This window comes from Homo sapiens, chromosome 4 (assembly GCF_000001405.40).
Source record: "Homo sapiens chromosome 4, GRCh38.p14 Primary Assembly".
In the NCBI taxonomy this organism is placed as follows: Eukaryota; Metazoa; Chordata; class Mammalia; order Primates; family Hominidae; genus Homo; species Homo sapiens.
The window spans coordinates 65,944,890-65,967,528 of record NC_000004.12 but is presented as its reverse complement, the minus strand read 5'-3'; the positions used below and the strand labels follow the sequence as shown (position 1 = coordinate 65,967,528).

General features: G+C 32.8%; 1 long non-coding RNA gene across 1 annotated transcript; it reads right to left on the bottom strand.

The window, feature by feature from the left end:
- Nucleotides 1–19,267: 19,267 nt before the first annotated feature.
- On the bottom strand, nucleotides 19,268–22,590 carry LOC105377260 (uncharacterized). The gene is made up of 3 exons (XR_938841.1): nucleotides 22,525–22,590; nucleotides 19,688–19,890; nucleotides 19,268–19,435 (listed from the first exon to the last, which is right to left on the bottom strand). It is a non-coding gene; the product is annotated as an uncharacterized LOC105377260 (long non-coding RNA).
- Between the last annotated feature and the right edge of the window lie 49 nt (nucleotides 22,591–22,639).

Below are 22,639 nucleotides of genomic sequence, written 5' to 3'. Positions count from 1 at the left end.
AGTAGTCACAATACATTACTCAGACAGAAAAATGTTGCCCAGATTAACATTATTGAAATATTTGTATTTGTGTGTCTGTGTGCATACATGAACATGTATTTGCTTATATACGTATGCATATATATTTGTTTTGCAATCCATTGTACATGCATTTTAAAACAAATATTTTAGTGGCCCAGTTCCCTCCAGGAAATCATCAGGCAACTGAAGATTACATGCAATACACAGCATGTCCAAATATTAATGTGATATTCTCTATCAAAGGACACAACTGTTAATGTTTCAAAAAATGATGCTTTTTCTTATAAATAAGCTGTTATCAACATAGCAGTAAAAATTAGAGAAATCAGATGCATAACTTTAGATTCGAGATTCTTCTAAAGTGATAATATTTCAGTCTGCAAGCAAATTATTATTTTAAAATAACTTTTATGATTACCTTGAATAAAAATAATAATATTAATATAAAATTCATATATTTCAGCTATGCTAAAGGCATGTCAGAAATGCTAAATGGGCCTTTTCCTGATTGATGTGAAATGTAGTTTTATATGCATATATATATGTTATATATAATGCACATATATATGCAAATCATGCATGTCTCTCTTATTTCCACACATTTTCTCTTTTTTATGTGAGTGTGCTCACTATATAGTCACAAGATTTTGGCCTTGACCTCAATAGTGGCTGTGTCAGAATAACAAGACAGCTGTATTGATTTTCACATAAACCAAACTTTGGAATTATTCTCTGCTCTCCAAGAACAGGTGAAAAGATGTTTTAATGAATGAATGAATGTTTGAGAAACTAATACCATTCACCCTTATCCTTTTCTCCATTTTCCAGGTATATAGGAAAGGCAGACTTACAGACACCTTGTAGCTCTAAGAAAGTGGTTAGCTCTGAAAAATTATAAATAAAATTAATGCCTATTTTAAACCACACACAAAATTAAATTTCAGATGTATTATAGATTAAAATGAAGTACAAAGTGCTTTACAATATAACTTAGGTAACTACTTTTTAAAACATAAAGTATAAAAGAATAAAATGTATGTTTAATTATATAAAGTAGCAAGTTTCTATATAGATTTAAAATTAAAGGGCAAAGAGGAAGAAAAAATACCAAACACATGTCATGCAAACAATTAATAGTTTTAATAAACACATTTTCAACAACCCAATCAAAATGAACAAAAGTTGGATCTATAAGTGTGCAAAAGAAAATACCAAAGACCAGCAATATAAAAAATTCACATCAATTTTATTCACAAATAAAAACAAATGAGATAATTTTTAAAATTTAATACATTAACAATACACACACACCCACACTCACACACATATAAACAAAATACTCCATTATCAGTGGTAGAATGGTAGCAAAGTCATTTTGATTTACTATGTGTGGGAGTATAAATTGTCCAATATATATATAGAAAGAAACAAATTAACATGAATCAAAAGGCATTAGATACATACTAACATTTGGAACAGTAATTACACTTCTACAAATACATTCTGAAGGATTTTTTCATGATGTTGGCTTATGGTATATTAAGACGCAGAACAATCTAATTTCTGACTTTACTGTCAAGAATACTTGAAGTTCGTTTTGAGTATTCAATAGAGCATAATACAATCCTTACACAATGTTTCAGAAGAACACTTAATTAAATGGGAAAAAATGCCCAAAATGCATTCTGAATTTAGTAGGAAACATTGATAGCATTACCTGAAGTAAGATGACAAACTTAAAGAAAAAAAGATTATGCCATTCATAACTGATATTCTCCAGGCTCAAATGAGGCCATATTAACCTAATATTAAAATATACTTAATATTTCATACTGCATCCTCCCTTCTTAACGAAATACTTTTCAGCATTTCTGTTGGCCCATGAAAGTGTCTCATTGGTACTCATGAATGAGTTTCTTTTAAATAAAAACTATGTCTATTTTGCCATACTTCCTCCAGACAAAACCCATTCCATCTTTTTACCATAGCTGGTCTTCAAGATGTAGCAGTTGGAGTCTGGCACCAACTACTGTCTATTAATCATCACCTAACAACTACGTAACTCATGCTTGGTAACGCAGCTCCCACTTGATTCCTAGCTGCATGGAAAACATTTGTTTTGTGGAAAACTTTACCTTCGCCGTAAATATGTACTTTCTTGCTTCCTCATGTAAGGCTAAGTTCCCTCAAAATAGAAATAAATTTTCATTCTAACATTTTGAAACATACATAAAAAGGGTACAATAGAAATCTACACACTATTCAAATCATGAAAAAAAATTCAGTATGTATCAGATGTTCTTATGATAGAAATATTATTTTTAGGTTTGAATATTTGTGCTATGTTTGTGTTGCTATTGTACAGGTAGGTGACTTCAATTTAATAAGCAATCATAATTTCTAAAAAGACAAGTTTTGTTGCAAAGCAGGGTTAAGAGAATGAATTTAATCTACAGAAGAAAAAATAGAAAGAATTTTGGATAATTTAATTTGCATTTAATTTAGAAAAAAATGAATACCACAAAATATTTTTTCCAATGTAAGTTAACAAATTCCTATTTTCTGCATTAAAGTTTAAAGTAAAAGAAAATCAAATTAAAATAGCAATGCTTATATTATTGCTTTGACATAGCGGGTCTCCAGTAGTAATTTGATATTTAAGTTAAAGAAAAGGTATTATATTACTTGGCACTTCAATAAATATGGCCAGTTAGTGGTATACAGCACACTAAACTTCAAAATCCCTATAATGCTTCAACGATGGTTGAAAAATGTGTTACAAAAATGTATACTTTTAAAGACATATTAGCTGAACACACTTAAATATTTAATGAAGAAATCATATTGATTTGAGTGGATTAAAATAATTTTATATATTATTTTAGATTCTGGACAGTTGTAATTGCAATATTAGAGTACCATATTGGTAGTGACTTGAATTTATTAAAAAATGGGACAAATATCCAGAGAAAATATAAACTATCTCAAATAAAGATAAATAATCATTAATCTCCTTAAAGTCAACTTATGTATCAGATGACTGTAAATCTTAAGTAATTTCCTCCTGATTACATGTTCCAGTATATTTGTAATATGTTTTTCAAATAATTTACAGCCTGGATGGGAGAAACCTTTCTGAAGATCATTGGAAACATGATCACTGTTGGTCATCGTAGTTGACCAGTGCATACAGCAGTAAGGGAAAAACAAACTGAAGACTTTCCTTCCTCCCCAATTCCACCACATTCGCCAATCAGTTTACTAACCAGAAGTTACTGTTTTTACAGTACATGTGTTTCTATGTTATATGTGTAATATTGCTATTAAATATGCATCATTCTGGAAGTCAAATTTATTTACTTTTTAACAGTCTTTTACAATTTACCCTATAACACAAACATCATCCCCCCACACATTTGGACTCATACATGCATATACAGGCAAAAATGCTGATAACAAAAGATAACTCAGTATCATGTGTAACTTCTACTTCCAGATAGAAGATGAATAAAATTTGGTCCCAAAATTCATTGAAATATTACTCATAGGTAACTTCATCAGATGACTCCAATTGCTAAAATCTGAACTTTATTGTAACTACAAAACTTCAAATTCTAACATTTATTTATTTTTAATTTTATAGATTTAGTAAATATAAGTGCAGTTTTGTTACAAGCATATATTGCATAGTGGTGAAGTCTGCATTTTTAGGGTACCTATTACCCAAATAATTTACAATGTACCCAACAGATAAATTTTCTTCCCTCATCCTACTCACCTCCCCCACCCTTTTCGAGCCTACAGTATCTATTAGTTTACTTGTATGTCCATGTGTACGCATTGATTAAGTCCAACTTATAAGTGAGAACATGTAATATTCAACTTCTGTTTCAGAGTTATTTCAATGAGGATAATGGCCTCCAGTTCCATCCATGTTGCTGCAAAATACATAATTTTGTTCTTTTTTATGGTTGAGTAGCATACACACACATATATGCACATGCATATACACACACACACACACACACACACCATGGGATACTACTTTTTATTTATCCAATCATCAACAGAGGATTGGATAAATAAAATGTGGTATATATGTATGTATCATGTATACATATACATATATACATACAATGTGATATGTATATATACATACATATATACATACAATGTGATATGTATATATACACACATATATGTGTGTGTGTATATATATACTTTATATATGGATACAACACATATATATGTCACATTTTATTTATCCAACCCTCTGTTTCTGTTGATGAACACTTAGGGGATTTCATGTCTTACCTTTTTTGAATAGTGCTGTGATAAGCATACAGGTGCAGATGTCATTTTGATATAGTGATTTATTTTCAATGGGGTAGGTACTCAGTAGTGGGATTGCTAGATTGAATAGTACTTCTATTATTAGTTTTTTGAGAAATCTCCGTACTGTTTCTTATAAAGATTGCACTAATTCACATTACCACCAACAGTGTATAAGAATTGCCTTTTCTCCACATCTTCACCAACATCTGTTGATTTTTGACTTTTTAGTAATAGCAATTCCTTCTCGTGTAAGATAGTACTGTGGTTTTAATTTTTAATTTTTCTGATGATTAGTGATTTAAGCATACTTTCATTTTTGTTGGCTGATTGCATGTCTTCTTTCGTGTAATATCTTTTTATGTTCTTTGCCCACTTTTTAATGGGATTATTTGTTTTTTTTTCTTTGTTGAGTTGTTTCAGTTTCTTGTAGATTGTATATATTGGCCATTTATCAGATGCATAATTTGCAAATATTTTCTCCAATTTTGTAGGTTATCTGTTTATTTTGTTGATTATTTATTTTACTCTGCGAAAGCTTTTCAGTTTAAGTTCCATTTGTTTTTATTTGTTTTTGTTGCATTTGCTTTTGAGAACTTTCTCATAAATTATTTGCTGAGGCCAATGTCTGGAAGAGTTTTTCATAGGTTTTATTCTAGAGTTTTATACTTCTGGGTCTTATATTTAAGTCTTTCATTGATATTGAGTTAATTTTTTATATGGTGAGAGATATGCGTCCAGTTTCATTCTTCTGCATATGACTATCCAATTTTTCCAGCACCATTTATTGAATAGGGTGTGATTTCCCCAGTGTATATTATACCACAAGTCTATAGTAACCAAAACAGCATAGTAGTGTTATAAAAGTAGACCTATAGATCAATGGAACATAATAGAGAACCCAGAAATAAATCCAGACATACCTACCATTAACTGATCTTCAATAACTTTTAAAATTTTATATGATGGTTTTCAAACACTTTTTTGCATCTTCTGAGTTAGTATGCTATCTTTCCCACTACAGTAATTCAAGCAACCCCTACAAGCATTTCAGAGTTGGCTCACAAGAAGGTACCATTTACCAACAAAGCTATTTATCCTATTATAACAATCTCTGCCTCAGAGTCTCAAACTGATGGCCAGAAGATAGCTAAAGGGGGAATCTGATATATAAGAATAAAAAAATGAATAAACACTAACAAAAATTGATATTTTATTGGATTTCAATGGAAAATCACAACAGAAACACTGTATTTGCCTTACCAGTAATGATGGCTAACCTTTAATAAGTATCCACTATGTACCAGGTTCATTTCAAAGAGCTTGCAATGAATTAAGAAGTTTAGTAGTCATACGCTATGAGGGAAGAAATATTATTGTAATTTTCTTTTTAAAGACAAAGAAACTGAGACAGAGGAGTTCAGTGATTTGCCTGAGGTTATGGTCCTGATAAGTGACAGAGCTAAGTTGCTGGATGCAGAGTCCATACTCTGAGTCTCTGCACTATATGATGTTTCAATGGCAGCAATGGACTGAATCTAAGTACATGTTGCATCCTTTAGTTATGGCACCCCCTGTGCAGCCCACCATCGTCCCTCCACTTCTACTTGTCGTTTCCTCACAGGGGTCAGAATAAAGTGTCCATCAGTATACTTGCATTTCTACTTTTCCTATAGTGTGTGTGTGTGCACGTGTGTGTATTCACACTATATATCATACATATAGTGCAACATATATACATATATATGTATGTGTATATATATATTTTTTTCAAATACAGCTTACTAAAATATAAATGAAAAGATTGAGTGCATTTTTAAAGAATGGTAGTGAGCCTACATTGTTCTTTGTGGATGTAAAGAACATTATTACTAACAATATAAGTAAATACTTGTTTTATATTATTAGGAGGCCACTGTTAACACTTGAGTTTGTCATCTTTTTTTCCATCTTTCTAAATATTTCATTCTCTTATTTAGTGAACATCTTTTTTTTCAACATCTTGGAGACCTTCAGTTATATGACCTTTCCTTGAGCCCAAATCTCCTACCACTCTTGGGTTTTATTTTCATTTTTAACAATTTTGTTAAATCCCTAATGGTACTGTTCTTCAGCTATTCCATTTCAGTCACTTCATTCTAGTCCCATTGCACTTATTCTGCACCTACACTGCCAAATCTCACTATTGAAGCAATCCAAAAATCATCTTTTTATTTTCCACTTTTGGGTGCCAAACTTACTCCCTTGCCAGATCCAATGGATGACTGAGTCCTGCATGAAACTCTAATTGATTTTCCTTTATAAAAAATCATCTTATTACCTCACAAGCAATTTTGTCTAGATAGTTTGCATCTTAGCTCAAAACCTCACTCCACATTTCCCAACGGATTGCTAAACATACAGAATTGGTGTCCTATTCTTTAGTCTTGTCCCCTCCTCTTCTTTCACACTGCTGACAGAGTGATCTTTCAAAAATGCGTTTGTTTATTCAATAGCTTGAAACATCTTGTGGTTGTCCGTGGCCTATAGAATGAAGGTCAAATCTTTTAACACCCATTTCATGTTCTGAACTGTCATTCAAGTTGTAACTACAACAGAAGTCAGTTTCTGTGTATAACATTGATTTGCTCTGTATCTTTAGAATATAAAGACCTCCTGTCTCAATTATACCAACTTTCTTAGTTTTTCTAATAGTTCAGCAGTGCTTGTTCCTTTTATAGAAATCTGTGAAAACTGCAAAAATATACAATATGTAGTCTTATTGATATGTAAGCATTTCCTTTGCAGAATTCCATTGACTTCCTTAGAAAGAAATCACATGCTTATAGATTCCTTCTACATATTTAATGACAGTGGATTTTGCAGAAAATGAAAATTATGTTTTACTTTAATTTTCTTTGAGAGTCCATTATTACTTAGGAGCAATTTTTCATATATATGTATATATATATGTATTTATTATTTTCCTTAATCAAATAATTTGGAACTTTAGAATCTTGAATTGTACTTCTTTGAGGGAGAAATTGTATTTTTTGCCTGGAGTGTAATGAATTTACTATTCAAGTCCATTTATGTATAAGTTGTTAGCTGAGGAAGATTGCTTACATCTAGCCTTGTATGAATGGTGCTTGTGTGTCTGTCATCCGGTTTGCAGCTCTTCAGTCAGGATTGACCTGCCCTAATTCTTACAGTAGGGATCAAAATATAAGAAATCCCCCATTAGCACCTCGTAATCAGCGAGATCATTCTCTTTTCTGCTCATAGGACATACTATTTCCTTCTTTTATTAATTTCCATAAACTCCAGTTTTACATCTTTCTGCTGAAAATCGACATAAGACCTTTGTGTTTAATTAGCAAGTACAAATTATCTATTCTAGACATCTCACCTTATTTATCTCTCAACATTCTTCTATTTTTTGTTCCTAAAGAATCTGACATTTTAATCCTTGACTATTCCGCTAACCTAGAACAGGTCCTGGCAAATAGCAGGTGCTCAAAAATATGTTTGAATAAAATGAGCAAATGGAATTCTGAAAGCTCTGGATAAGATACACTTCTACTGCTTATGGGCTTTTAAGATCTAAACAAGGTGAGCTAGTAGCCCTGGAGGAAGTAACAAAATTTTGCTTCTGATGAAAGAGTATTCAACATTTGGTCAACTTTCTTGCATTGTTCCCCAAAACACCTGAGATACATAAAATGTCAATTATATTATCAAGCAAGATTATTTATATAAAAAATGGTCCATTATTTATAAATTGTTTCTGGATTGTAAGAGGAACTCTGAATCTTGGGTTTCCCTAAATCCAGTGACTCTTGAAACTGACATGACTTACAGGTGTCCTGCATATGTATATGACATTATTATTAATATTTGTTCCTGAGTAGCATAGGAGTTTTAAGCCAGGGCAGATTTTGGATCCTGTCTCCTATACCTGAACTGTCTTGCCCAAGAATAAAAACACACATAGAAAGATTCTTTGGAGGAAGACAACATATTGGTTTCCCAATTATTTCTATAAATATTATTTCAAGTACAACTTCTAGAAGAAAGTACACATAACAAAAACATAGGCAAAATATGATATGAGCAGAACTAGCAGAAAAAAGAATCAAATATTTAAATAAAAACTTAGGATTACAGATATTTAAATAAATTGTTTCTGGATTTAACTCTTAACTTTGGGTTTTGTATAGAGTGAGAGATGGGAGCCTAGTTTTGTTCTTCATACGGATATCCAGTTTTCTTGGCACCATTAATTGAAGAGACTGTTCTTTTCCCCAATAGATGTTCTTGATGCCTTTGTTAAAAATCAGTTGGCTGTAGATGCATAAAATAATTTATGGGTTATCTATTCTGTTCCATTTGTCTATGGGTCTGTTTTAAGGCCAGTACCATGCTGTTTTGGCTACTATAGCTCTGTAGTATAATTAGAAGTCAGGTAATATAATGCTTCTAGTTTTGTTCTTTTTGCTCAGGATACCTTTGGCTATTCAGCATCTTTTGTGGTTCCATATGAATTTTAGAATTGTTCTTCTATTTATGTGAAAAATGGTATTTGTATTTTAAGAGGGATTGTGTTGAGTCTGTAGATCGTTTTGGGTAGTATGGTCATTTTAACAATATTAATATTTCCAGTCCATAAACTTGGGATTGTGTTCCATTTTCTATGTGTCTTACTCAATTTCTTTCATCAGCGTTTTATAGTTTTCCTTGTAGAACACACTGTCACCCCACTGGTTAAATTTATTCCTAGGTATTTTTATTTTTCGCAGCAATTGTAAATGGGATTCCTTTCTTGAGTTCTTTTTCAGCTAGTTCATTGTTCTTGTATAGAAATGCTACTGAATGTTTTATGTTGATTTTCTATCCAGCAACTTTAGTGAATTCGTTTATCAGTTCTAAGAGATTTCTTAGCAGTGTCTTTAGGTTTTTCTATATATAAGGCAACATGATCTGAAAACAAGGACGATTTGTCTGTTATTCAGTTTGGATGCCCTTATTTCTTTTTCTTGCCTAAATACTCTGACCACGACTTCAATGCTACGTTGAACAGAAGTGGTAAGAGTGGGCTTCCTTATATTCCAGTTCCCAGAGGAAAACCAAAGCTTTTCCCCATGTAATATGATGTTAGCTGTGGATTTGTCATATATAACTTTTATTGTGTTGAGCTACTTTCCTTTTATACCTAATTTATTGAGAGTCTTTATCATGAAGAAGTGTTGAATATTATCAAATACCATTTCTGTATCTTTTGAGATTATCATGCTTTTTGTTCTTTATTCTGTTGATGTGATGTATCATGTTTTGATTTGAATATGTTGAAATGTCTTGCATACTTGAGAGAAATTCCACTTGATCATGGTGTATGGTCTTTTTGATGTGCTGTTGGATTTTGTTAGCCAGTATTTTATTAAGAATGTTAGAATCTATGTTCATCAGGGATATTATTCTGCAGCTCTATTTATGGTCGTTGTGTCCTTGTCTGGTTTTGGTATCTGTCAGCAGTATGCACAATTGCTTCAATACTAAGTTAACCCAAGTGTCCAACAACAAATAAAATAATAAAGAAAATGAGGTACATATACACAATGGAGTACTATTTAGCCATAAAAAGAATGAAATCCTGTTATTTTCAGCAACATGGATAAGGCTGGAGGAATTTATGTTAAGTGAAATAAACCATGAACAGAAAGTTAAACACAGCATACACAACATATTCTCATTCATATGTGGAAGCTAAAAAATCTGATTTCATAGAATTATAGTAGACAGAGGTTACCAGAGGTTGGGAAGGGTCAGGGGAAGGGAGCATAGGGAGAGATTTATTAAGGAATAAAACATGGAAGCTAGGAAGGTAAAATAAATTCTAGTGTTCTATAGCAGTGTAGGATGAATATAGTCAAAAATAATATGTTATATATTTTCAAAAAGCTAGAAGATAGGATGTTGAATGTTCCAAACACAAAGAAATCTTAAACGTTTGAGATAATGGATATACTAATTACCCTGATCTGATCACTATAATGTTGTATGTATCAAAACTTCACAGTGTGCTTCATATATATGTACAATTGTTATATGCCAATTAAATAATAAATAAAATTTTAAACATTGAAATTCTCAAGCTAAAAACCAGAATGTTACATTTTCTCAGTGGATGGTTTTATAAGAAGATGAAAAGTGGACTAGTAAACTAGAAATTATGCCGGAAGCTACTGCCCAGAATTTAATTTCAATTTTAATCTAAAATTTCTTAAAAATATCAAAAGCTGACATGTTAAAGTGAAACTTCAGAATTGGACAGGCAAGAGAAAAATCTTAAAAAAATAAATAATTACAAAGATTCTCTATTACATGTACAGCTAGGTTTTCAACACAAATATAGGAAGAAAGATAATGGTGAAATGACATAGCCAATGTGTCAAAATAATATAACTGCCAACCTAGAAGTTTCTAACTAGCAAAAATATTTTTCAAGGAAATAGGGGAAACAAAATGATCTTTACATACGCAGTAAGGATTAAGAGGATTAAGAGCACATATTAAATATGTGGGTGATTCCACTAATTGATTGTATAAAACAATAATATTGGGCATAATGTTTATTTTTTATATTTATTTATTTATTATTTTACATAATATCTATATAACATTTAGATGTAACAATGTTCTAAATAAGTTATAATATGAATTCATTTTAATCAGTAGTAATTAAAATCTATAATTTTATAATTAATATACAGCCTGTAAAAACAATGATGCATAAATCAAAAGGACATAAAGGGTAATAAACTTTTCTAACTTTATATCACCACCCATGAGAAAAGTAAAAGAGACAAGTAGCATTAGACTTAGGAATTCAAAGATGAATTTTGAAAGTTAAAAGGAAATCAATATAAGAAAAAGAAACTGAAAGGATGTGCATACCTTCTGAAGAATATAAAGGTCATAAAGAGAATAGTTCAAAAATTCTGTAATTATAAAACAAGGCAATGATAGCCAATATTAAAATTACAGATAGCACACAAAACATCACAAATTAAATTTATAGATTTAAAAAGGAATGTGTTGTTTTCCTAAATATGAGTGGTCTAAATGTTCTAGTAATAGAATAAAAATTGTCATATTGTATTAAAAATATTCACACTACATATGTATACAAAAATCTTACATACATCATGAGAATTTAGAAAATTAAAAGTAATGAAAGGTAGTATAAATACAATTACTTATGTGCATTTAAAAACATAGATCATAAAAAGTTTAAAAGTGTAATTTCAAAAGATAAATCTTTCAATAACTCTAACAATACCACCCCCAAAAATAAATACTGACAAATTTTGTACACTCATGGCAAAAGTTAACTTTTTTCAGGAATTACTAGAAGAAACAGAAAAAATTTCATTTTAATAGAATTCCAATAAATAATTAACAGGACATAATTCCCATGTTACAGAACCCTATACTCAATAACTATAGAATTTACATTTTCAAGCATAGATACCATATTTTAAAATAAAATAAAATTACCTTATATAGAACATGTTCTATGATAAAGTATTTTTGGACATTAGGAAAAATATTTCAAAATAATGTAAGTTACATGGATCCAAAGAAAAGGAAAAATTTAGTGGTAATAAAATATTTTAATTAGTTAATTTATTAATGTTACTGTTTTCTACATTGCTGACTCCCAGATGCACATCTATTGTTTCAATGTTCTCTCCTACTTGAAACCCTGCAATGGCTTCCATAACACCTGAAATAATCTTCACAGCCTACAATACCCCTTATGAATGTCCACCTGCTACAAATCCAACCCCATTTTCAGTCATACTCCCTGTCACTCAGCTCCAACAGAGTTGGAGCAACCTCATTGCTAGTAACCTCCTTTTAGAGCTTTGCACATGTTTACCTGAAACCTTTCCCCTTGGACTATCAAGTTCACAGTTCCCATTTTCATTATTAATCTTACTGTACCATGTTTTCTTCATAGTTATTATTACCTAATTTATTGCATGCTTATGAATTTTTATTTTAGACTCCTTTTCCACTATGTTAAATTCCAAAATGACAGGGATGTTACTTTTTGTTTTGTTTTGTTTTGTTGTGTTTTAAATCTGTGATCTAGAACAAACCTTGGTACCTGATGACGGGTAGAGGCTTAATATAGGTCACGTGGTTCAGTTCTGAACAATCATGTCTAATTGCTATTGGAGAAAGTTTTCATCATTATTTTGGAGGTAATTTCCCACCCCACATGCTTTCTGTTATCTTCTGGAATTTCAAACAGAGAACTGGCTTTTTGGACCTCATTGGCTCACTACTAAGTTGCCCTTAAGCATTCTCTATCCTGCTGCCCATTCTGCTAATTTGCTTCTTTTTTTAATTTAGTGATCAAAATGTTCATATCCACCATTTTATTTATGTTTTTGTAATTCTAAAGAGCAATAGCTAAATAGCAAATCCTGTAGAAGAAATTGTGCCTCTCCAATATAAGTCTCCCCTATTCAAGCTCAGCTTTATTTCCACTGTGTCACAAGTTTGTAATATTTACGCAACTACTTAAATCATAGGAATGATTCATCTTTCTCTTATCACATTTCCTTTTCCTTCAGTGAAAACCTGGTAATCCCTAGACAGGTTGATCTAAATGTATAGGAATAGATTTCAGGAGTGACTGCTATAATTTCACCTGAAATAGTTAAATAGTTGATTCCAGGTATATAGTTTACAAAAGGATTCCATAACTGCCTTCCTGGAGAGGCCCTAAAAACATATCTGACCAGTTTCCCATTCTCTCACAACTTCTTAGTAAAAGGAGATTCTCACTATCTAGGGATGGTGGTTTAAAAAAAAAAAAGCATTTTTACATTATTCAAGCACTTGACAATTAACATGTCTCACATACATCATATATGAATTGATTTCACATATTTACAGAGTTGCCTTATGAAATAATCTGAGGTTTCATCAGTACTCATTTCTGAATTCTGTCAGAAATGAACCAAATAGATCAGGTTGTACATTTATTGTCATTCACTTTTGCCTTTCCTTTGTGTGTGCCAGAAACTTAAATTTTCTCTACGGTTTAGTACATTTTCAAGATTGCAGCTTATTTTAGGATTGCAAAAGCTCTTTTTCTGACTATTCTAGTTAATGAGAGGTCCCTTATTCCCCAATCTTCTCAAGATTGTATCTAAACTCTTTTACACTTACAAATGTCAAATAATAGAAAAAAATCACTTATTGGAAAATATCATCTCAATGCAGATGTTTGTGATAGCATATTAACTTTATTCACCTACTTATTCAATAAATATTATGTATCCACTAACTATTCAAGGATTTAGTATGCAACAGGTAACAATAGTAGGTTCCTGTTGTGACACTTGTTGTATAGAAGATGAGGCAAGAAAGCAAGTAATTACAACACAATTTGATAAGTGCCACTATAGGGATAAACACAGGCTTGGGTAGCCAGATCAGAGCCACCCCATCTAGCATTAGGGAAATAAGCAACAACATCCCTAAGAAAATAATATATAAAAATAAAACTGAAGTGAAGAGAGTTATCCCAGCAGAAAGAAATTGAAATTAGAGGTACTGCCATAGGTAAATGAAGGATGATGACAGAGGTTGTGTTATGTTTGAGGAATTGCATATCAGTAAATAGGGCAACAGGTAAAGCAGGGAGATTAATAAAACATAAAATTGGAGATGCAAGCATGAGCCAATAAATGGACAAATTTTACATTATTTGAATGAATTAAGTCTATAAGTTAAAAATAATGCAAAGTCATCGAAGCTTTTCAAGTATTGGGGTCACGCAACCAAAGTGGAAATTCTGAGTGACAACTCTCTGTAATGTGGAAATATTGTACAGGGGAAGCACCCTGAGGCAATTCAGGTCACATGTGATTATTGACTAAAATCATTCCATGGGAATGAGAGGTAGAAAGACAGAGAGACGGATTTGAAAAGTTTTAGAATGTAGTGGCAATAAGACTTGGCAATTGATCAACACTGAAAGTCAGAAATTGGATAAAATTTCTAGAATATTGGATCAACCCGAATCAGGTGTAGTCAAGAAAGTCTGAAACAGATGTTCAAATTGCTGCACATCACATCAAAGAGGCAAGGTAGTACCACTCTTTGACTAAGAATGAGAATATGACAAAAGAACAAGTACAAAAGTGCAAAATACAGTTAATCACCCAAATGTCAGTCCTAAATAAAGGGCATCATTTAGACGCCTGACATGACAGGAAGAGAGCCTTGTTTTGTCAGAGTCTTATAGCTCCCATGAGATACTTTCAGGCAGTTACCAAAACCTATTGCCGTATTGGCCTTGAATTCTCCCTAATGGATGCCATTCAGTTACTGTTCTCTGATCATTCTGACAGAAAATTGAAGTCTGAAGAGACCTTGTTTGTTTGTCCTTTAATATCCAAGGGAGCAGCATGCTTCATGTTCCATCTGTGAATCATCTTTATTTTATCATCTTTATTTTAATCAGTATCTCCTACATAAGCTAAAAGAGAAATTGATTGAAGCTGTTACTTTGCTGGCAAAGTGAAAATTTTTATTTGCAAAAACCTCTGGAGAAAAATATGCTTTCTGCAAAGACATACGCAGAACAGTTACCTTTGTGGTATCTACACATTTTATTATTGCTTTCAACAGCATATCTCACAAAGTGACCGTGATGGTTAATTTTAGGTGTCAACTTGACTGGCTGAAAGAAAACCCAGGGAACGGGTAAAGCAGCATGACTTCTGGGTGTGTCTGTGAGGGTGTTTCCAAAGGAGATTGGCATGGGAGTCAGGGGACTTAGTGGGGAAGATTCACCTTCAATGTGAAAAGATCCCATCCAATTAGCCAGGGGCCTGAATAGAAAAAGGCAGAGAAAAGGTGATTTTCTTTCTCTTGGGGTTGAGACACTCTTCTTTTCCTTCCCTTGGACATCAGAAATCCAGGCTTTCTAGCCTTTAGACTCCAGGACTTAACACCAGTGGTCCCCAGGGTTTTCAGGCCTTTGGCCTTGGACTGAGAATTACACCATTGACTTCCCTGGTTCTGAGGCTTTTGGACTTGGACAGAGCCATGCTACTGGCATCCCAGGGTCTGAAGCTTGCATACGGTCTATTGTGGGACTTCTCAGCCTCCATAATTGCATGAGCTAATTCCCCTAATAAATTCCCTCTTATATATCTTATCTATTCTGTTGGTTCTCTCTCTCTGTAGAATGCTGGACAATGATACACAATTCAAATGTTAGTTGGGGAAATTTGAAAGTTCTTCACTTTTATTGTACAGTGGCACAAATATTTTTCTCAATTTATCTCCCTCTTTCTCTCTCTTTGTGTGTGTGTGACTGACATATGACACCTTTGCTAATTGATAAACAATAAGGTACTGAATTGCTATTTTCACCAGTTTAGTCTTTTTAGTAACAAATGCCTTAATGATTTAGGATTCTGGAATCCTGAGTAAGGTGAACATTCTTCTTTGACAATACAACTAGCTAGGAATTTCTTAGCTAGCTGAGCAAAGATTCAACCAAGCAACACTTTTGTAATGCGTATGTTAAAAGAAAAACTTCTGATAAATTAAATTTAATAGAGTTTACCTGAGCAAAGAATGATTCATGAATTAAGCATCACTCAGAACCCAGAGAGGTCTGAGAGCTCAGTGCAGCAAAGTGAGCACATAGTATTTATAGACAGAAAAATGAAATGACATGCAGAAACAGCTTGATTGACAGGTGAGCATTTGCCTTCTTTGGGCATGGTCTGATCAGTTGGCAGTCTGTGATTGGCTAAAGCTTGGCTGCTGTGTATGTCTGAGACTCAGCTACTTGCTAGGAGAATGTACTCTTAAGTCGGCTGCAGTTTGCTGCAGATAAACTCAAGGTATGGAGACAGCTTTAGGACATATTTAATTTAATTTAATTTAATGAGTGTATTTTTTAATAAGTAAAAACAAACTGTATTTTAGCCTTGAATTCAAAATTAGGTTATTGATCCATATCTTGACAAATTATTAGCCAGCTGTCTATTATTAAAACCCAGAAAGAAAATCACAGCACTGGAATAATGCAGTACCAAAGTGGGCAACTTAGTAAACCTTGTACATTGCAAGACAGTCTGCTCTACAGAAAGATTCGGATGCACAGAGAAAAAAGGGATGAATGTTAGAATTGCTGCTTACAGCAACTCACCTTTCAGAAACCAATGCAAATTTTCAGAAATCACAAAATATGTTTCCAAGACAAAGGATTTAGTAGGGAAGAGTCACCCTCAAGATAATAAAAGAGAAATACGGCAATGAAAGTTTCACTTGATATTGGGGATTGAAAATGGAGGTTGAGAAGAAATATGAAGTGTTTGTTATTTTATGTGTGTTTTGCAATTTAACATATAGTCATGTGTCACTTAACATGGTGGTAGGTTCTGAGAAATGTGTTTATTGTGTGAACATCATAGAGTGTACTTACACAGAGAGTATAGCCTAATATACTTAGGCTATATGACATAGCCTATTGCTCCTAGATTACAAACCTATACAGCACAAATATTGTTGGCAAGTGTAACATGATGATATTTGCGTATCTAAACATAGAAAAGGTAGAGTAAAAATATCGTATAAAGGATTAAAAATGGTATACCTATATAGGGCACTTCTCATGAGTATATCTTGCAAGATTGGAAGTTGCTCTGGATGAGTCAGTGAGTAGTACTGAGTGAATATAAAGGCCTAAGACATTACTGCACACTGCTGTAAACTTTATAAACACAGTAAACAGGCTATATTAAATTTATAAAAATTATTTCTTTCCTCAACCTTAGCTTATATAATTTGTTTCCTTTTAAAAACTTTTAACTTTTTAACTTATTTACTATTTTGTAATAACACAGCGTAAAACACACATTGCAGAGGTGTACAAAATATATTTTTCTTTATATTCTTATTTTATAAGCTTTTTCTTATTTTATGATTTTCATATTTTAAGATTTTTTTTTGTTAAAAACTAAGACACATATATTTGTGCATACACATTCACCTAGGCCTATCTATACAGTGTTAGTCTCGTCAGGACATTACTAAGTAATAGGAATTTTTTAGCTCCATTGCAAGCTTATGAGACTGGCTTTGTATATGCTTTGTTGAACAAAACATCACTACACGATGCATGACTACATTTAAAAAACCAACACCTTTCTTTGCATTTTGATTTAACTTGTTTAGGTTTCTATGAGAACAGTCATTTAATGTTAAATTATGAGAAAGGCAATAGCTATGTTATCACTGTAACTATAAAGGCTGATAATTTCTAAGAGATTAAAATTATTGTTATTTCTAATATTGTCCAATATAAAGCAGTCAAATGTAATATATAAGGAATGAGTTCTACATGTAATCTTTCTATTATGAGAATGTGTCAATTGATATTATAAATATACAGAAAAAGAAAAAAGAAAGCCAATAAAAATACATTCATTGAAGTTATAATATAAGAAATGTGTAGATAGGAAAATAATACAATTTTACTGAATTTTAACTTGATTTTTTTCCCTTTTAACACTTTACTATTATAGTAATTTTCCATTATTTTGAATAGACTCTCTTTCTTGGGAATATTTGGAGGCAGGGACACTGGGTTACGAAGCAAAAATCTAGATTCTTGCCTAAGTTCTGCAAATTTTAGTATGCCCTTGTCATTTCATTTTCCTACATCCAGTGTCCTCACTTCTTATAAAAGAGGGTTGAATCAAATAAACACACAAATCTCTACTAGCTTTTTTATTTTCTACGTACCAGAATGTTATATAATTATTTTATACTTAAACTGTTTCATTTCCTTAATTGAAAGTATTCATTTTTATTTTCCCATGAAATAACATATTAATAGGTGGGATTATTATAATAGAGAACATACTAAAACTTTCAATGCAATGATTGATAAACAATGATGCCAGGAAGTACAATTGGATGTAAAGGAGATTGGTACAGAGACTGTAACAATTATCTGAATGACATCTAACACTCCTTACCTATTAAAATTTCAGAAGACACAAATTTTCAGTACCTATTTCATCGGTTTGTTACGAGACTATTTCACAGTAACACACTTAAAGTGCCAGTATAGAAATTGCCATATAACAAGCAGTGAATGAGAGCTTGTATCTACTCAAAATACCTGGAGGGATGAAATTCAAAACTTACTGGTTTCTTCTTATAATTCCTGTATACCTAGGGAATTTGGTTACTGGTTCAGTATTTGGTATATGTGCTTCTTTGCAAAACATGCATGGCAACTTTTCATTTTTACCAGGTGTGAAACAAAAATAAAACATCTCAACTTCTATCACATCAATAAAAAGGAGTTTGATATTTATAAAATAAGAAGGAGAGGTCGGGCACGGTGGCTCATGCCTGTAGTCCCAGCACTTTGGGAGGCTGAGGCAAGTGGATCACGAGGTCAGGAGTTCAAGACCAGCCTCACAAAAATGGTGAAACCCCGTCTCTCCTAAAAATAAAACAATAAAAATAAAAATAAATAAAAAAAAATTTGCCGGGTGTAGTGGCACCGTGCCTGTAACCCCAGCTACTCAGGAGGCTGAGACAGAGAACTGCTTAAACCCAGGAAGTGAAGGTTGCAGTGAGCCAAGATCATGCCACTGCACTCCAGGCTGGGTGACAGAGCAAGAACTATGTCTATTAAAAAAAGAAAAAAAAAAAGAAAAGAAAAAAAAAAAGGAGAACTGCAAATTTACAAGCTAAACCAAGAAATAAGATTCTCCTATCTTGTCAATAGACTAGCATTATTTTTCTATTACTGCAGCAAACTGTTCTTTGTTACAGTCTCCAACCAAAGGATTATATGCTGGAAGAGGAGCTCATAAGTGATTCTGACCTGGAGAGAGGTGTATGCATTTCAGGTTTTGGTGGAGCACAAGATAACCCACCAAAGTCTTCTGGTCTCCTATTTGATTTGCCACGATTGACTTGCTTCTTATAGCAGAACTGTAGCTTCTCTCAGGATCTTGTTTGTTCATGCTTCCTGGGGAAACTTAAAAGTGAAAGGTTACTGGAATGAATTAAAGCCTTCTCTGCTGCAGTTGGCCTGAAAGCTGAAACAAATACTATTTCTTCTCCATTGTTCACCATCCATTCAGATTCTTCTGGTGCTCAACAAGGAACTGATAGGATGACCAAGACTAATGAGCGACTGGTTACTAAGTCTTTTTCAAACCACACTCTTTCATGCCTATTTACTGTTTAAACTAGGAGCCTCAAGAGACACCCTGGCAATTTTCCTTACCACTGGTCGTACTCCTCTTGGTCACTCTTCGGAATGGTATCAACTGCTGGCAAAAAGATCCCCAGGCTGAGGTTAGTTGAAGGCTCAGTTCCCGCTACATTCAGGTCAGCTTCTCCCTTTTCCAAATATTGACTCCATTTCTTCACAAGTGTGTCTCCAGAGAAAAGTCTCTAATAAACCCATACAAAATTTCTCCTTTCAGTCTGTTTCCAGGGAACACAGCATAAAATAAAATCATATCAAAGTATTAAACAGAGCAAAAAGCCATTACAGTTATATAATTTCTACACATTTAATTATTGTTTGTTTTATTAGCAAGTCACAGAAAAGCTATAGTAATGACAGCATTTTAAATTTTAAATGGGACTATGAACTCCTCTAAAATTTTCAAATAAAATTTTATTTATAAAATTGGTCATTTAGAATTGCCTCTCAGTTGCATAGAGTAAAACACTGGCTCATTTTGAGTTGTAATAACACATCAAATACATGTTAAGTGTCAAAACTTAATATCTCAATAGTGTGCCTACTGTTAGCAAGTAACAACATTTAGTCTGATCTCTAAATCAGATATGAGTATGTATTGCGACTCCTAATTGACATTAAGAATAGACGATCATGCAAATAATTAAAAATGCTACGTTTGGAAGAAAAATTTATTTCAAGTCGTTTGGTCCTTATGAAATAATGTGATATTTGACGCATTTCTTTTTCTCGCTGAACTGTCACCAAGTGGAACTTTCTCCAATAATTGAGGATTTTCTAATGTCCTTTTGGTAATTAAAAACTTTGCCATTTTTTCAGTAAAAAATAATTTTACAACACCCTTGTAAACGCATATTGTATCTTTAATACTGCCATTTCTCATTTCACTTCTCTCCTATCCACTCAACTTTTAAAAATAAAAAGATATGGCCGGGTGCAGTGGCTCATGCCTGTAAATCCCAGCACTTTGGGAGGCCGAGGCGGGCGGATCACGAGGTCAGGAGATCGATCGAGATCATCCTGACTAATACGGTGAAACCTCGTCTCTACTAAAAAAATACAAAAAATTAGCCGGGTGTGGTGGCGGACGCCTGTAGTCCCAGCTACTCGGGAGGCTGAAGCAGGAGAATGGCGTGAACCCGGGAGGTGGAGCTTGCAGTGAGCCGAGATCACGCCACTGCACTCCAGCCTGGGCGACTGAGCAAGAGCCCATCTCAAAAATTAAAAAAATAAAAAAATAAAAAGATATCTGTAGATTTCAATTGTGTCTAACGACAAATTTCAATTCAGGCAAAACTGTAATGTGGGAAAACAGAGAAAAAAAATGGAGTAAATTTTCTGTAACATCATCCCATGTGTCTTTCTCCCTCCGTTCTCATCAGGACACACTCTCCTCATGTGTCTAAGGCTTCTCATGTTGTTCTAGACCTTTCATCCAAGATTAAATTAATCCAATAAGTATAAAACACATAGGTTTGGATGGAGAGCCCTGTAATTTTTTTTGCTAAGTTGATTTCTACCCAGTTTAATTTGCTTCACTTTACTTAAAAATCATTGTATACCAAAGTGTAATAAATGTAGTGCCTTTACCATTTTAGAGGTATTTGCATTGCAATAAAGGATCATAAGGGAAAAAAACAATTTTTAAAGTTCAGAGATAAATTTTTGCTTATCGAATTTTAGACATTAAAGAGATTTATTTGAGAAGGATCTGTCTCAGAGCCCAAGTTACACTACAAACATCTTTTCACCATAAAGATGAAAGTTACCTCTTTTATTGAGTATTGGTTGAACAATGACCAATATAGTTTTCTGATAAGCTTTTGATTATCTATTTTAAAATGATGTAAACATTAACATGTCCTTATCAATTGTAATATTTTGAAGAAATAGTGGCTCTAAGACACAAGGGCATTTTCATCGGTGGAAGAAGTTAACTGATTTTAGCATTTATATTTTGGTCATAAACTACAAAACAAAGGGATTTTTGTTACTAATCTAAATAGATGATAAAAAGTGTAAAGCCAATGAATATAAATTATACAGAATGTTATTTGTCAGGAATTCTGAATCCGTAAGTAGCTGCCAGTTGGGCTAGGCCACCCTTGATTTATCCTCCATTATCGAGGTCCTTATCTCTTTTGGGAAAGTGTGGTATTGCCCATTTTAACCAATAAGGGGCCTTCTTTATCAACTGTCACTGGACAAAGGAATAGGCTTTCAAGTACTGACAGGAATATCAGAGACAAAATTTGGACATGAAATACATACCTTGCCTAAGTCTTCATGCTACAATCTTTGAATGTCTTCCTATACATTTTAAATGTCAGCTTGAATGGGTAAATTCTGTGTCTAAGTTTGCCTCAGCCTACTACTGGAGCAAAAGTCAGCTACCCAGATATTTTTAAACATATTATTATATCGACATATTATGAGGTGTTCCCTAAGCAACCAATTCAGCAAGAATTACAATTATACTTTGTGCCCTCTGGATAATCATCTATAAATACATATTGATATAATATCTCCTGACATTTGTCAATATTACCTATGCGATTCTTGGATGTTTTAATGTGAATTGATTAAGCTTAGCTCCATCAGGGACATGGAATACTTGGACTCCAGTCATGGATCATGGAATATTTGGACCCTAGTCATGAACAAGCTTTTTAAAGATTCAGTGTGTTAAAATAATAAAAAAGAAGTTGATGAAGAAAAGAAATAAAAGCAGTGAGAAGTGTTTCCAATGAAACATAATCCAATGGGACATGTTTTGTACTTTTTACAGCAAGAACCTGGTTTGTTTCTAGTCTTTCATATGTTTATCTATTCAATTGTTATTCAGCTCTTACCAGGTATTGATTGGCATGGCTCCTACTGCTGTAGATAGAGCACTGCTGTGGATATAGTGAAAATAAGCAGAAAAAAGAAACCAAATATCCATCTTCTTAGGCTTTGATAATTTCA